A 1,533-nucleotide genomic window follows, 5' to 3' on the forward strand; every position below is an offset into this window, starting at 1 on the left:
TAAATAACTTAATATTTTATGATATATTTCATTTCTAAATATCTGCCTCGATTATCCTCCTGTTGTCGAAAGTTAACACCAATAGTGAAATAAATTTCTATTAATACCCACTGTTCAGGAATCACAGATTTTCAAGCATATTTTCAGCTCACAAATTACAGCTACACATAAGTAATAAATCTGGGACATGACTATTTTCTGCAAATCGGAATGACTATGCTTAAGGCACATAAATAGAATTCTGTCCAATTCCCACCAGCCACTGGTGAATTTGTCATATAATGTTTTATAAGGCAAAAAGCACATCACATAAGAAGTGATTGGAAAGTCAGAGCTGTAGGGATTAAAGATGATAATTTTTAATTTTAATTTTGTTGTTGTTGTTTTTGTTTTGAGACAGTTTTGCTCGTTGCCCAGGCTGGAGTGCAATGGCTTGATCTCGGCTCACCACAACCTCCACCTCCTGGGTTCAAGCAATTCTCCTGACTCAGCCTCCCGAGTAGCTGGGATTACAGACATGTGCCAACCATGCCCGGCTAATTTTTTGTATTTTTAGTAAAGACAGGGTTTCACCGTGTTGGCCAGGCTGGTCTCGAATGCCCGACCTCAGGTGATCCGCCCACCTCGGCCTCCCAGAGTGCTGGGGTTACAGGCATGAGCCACTGTGCCCGGCCAATAACTGATTTTTTAAAAAGCACTCAGTAGAAATCTTTCTCTGAAACACCTTTCAGAAAGAGTAGGTGTAGGCTGAGCAGCTCTTTGGGAGGCTGAGGTGGGGGGATCACTTGAGGCCAGGAGTTTGAGATCGTGCTGGGCAACATAGTGAGACCTTGTCTCTACTAAAAATAAAAAAAAAAATTAGCTGGGTGTGGTGGCACACACCTGCAGTCCTGTCTACTCAGGAGGCTGAGGCAGAAGGATTGCTTAAGCCTAGGAAATTGAGGCCGCAGTGAGCTATAATCACACCACCGTACTCCAGCCTGGGCGACAGAGTGAGACCCTGTCTCAAAATAAAAAAAAAAAATAAGGAGTAGGTGCGACATAAACATATACATGTATACACAAACACACATTGAAATTGCTCCCTTGTATTAAAATAAAACAATGACAGGTATGTACTACAGTTGCGACTTGGTAAATTGCTTGAACTAATATCTCCATGGCTTAGATTTGTATTTGTCACTTCATGCTGCCAATGAATCCCGTCAGCTGGGAGCTCTCTCATAGGTACATCTTTTGGGCCACCTTCTGTGGTCCCTAAACCATTCTTTATGGAGCCAAATCTCTGACTTCCCAGTGATAGCTGTTTAAGCTTTGGTTATATTTCTTTGTATTTTTCTTTCCACATTCACCCAAATAGATTAATTATTACGTACCTTTCTTACTTTGTCCTGTCTGCTAGTGATAACACTGTCTATACTGGAGCATTCATGCCTGCTTCATAGGCAGGGCAAGGCATTTATAAACCACTGTGTGCAGGGCACAGAGGCTCAGATAATCTGTTACTTAAATAATAAAATGAAACAAGAAGCA

This window comes from Homo sapiens, chromosome 6 (assembly GCF_000001405.40).
Source record: "Homo sapiens chromosome 6, GRCh38.p14 Primary Assembly".
Taxonomy (NCBI): Eukaryota; Metazoa; Chordata; class Mammalia; order Primates; family Hominidae; genus Homo; species Homo sapiens.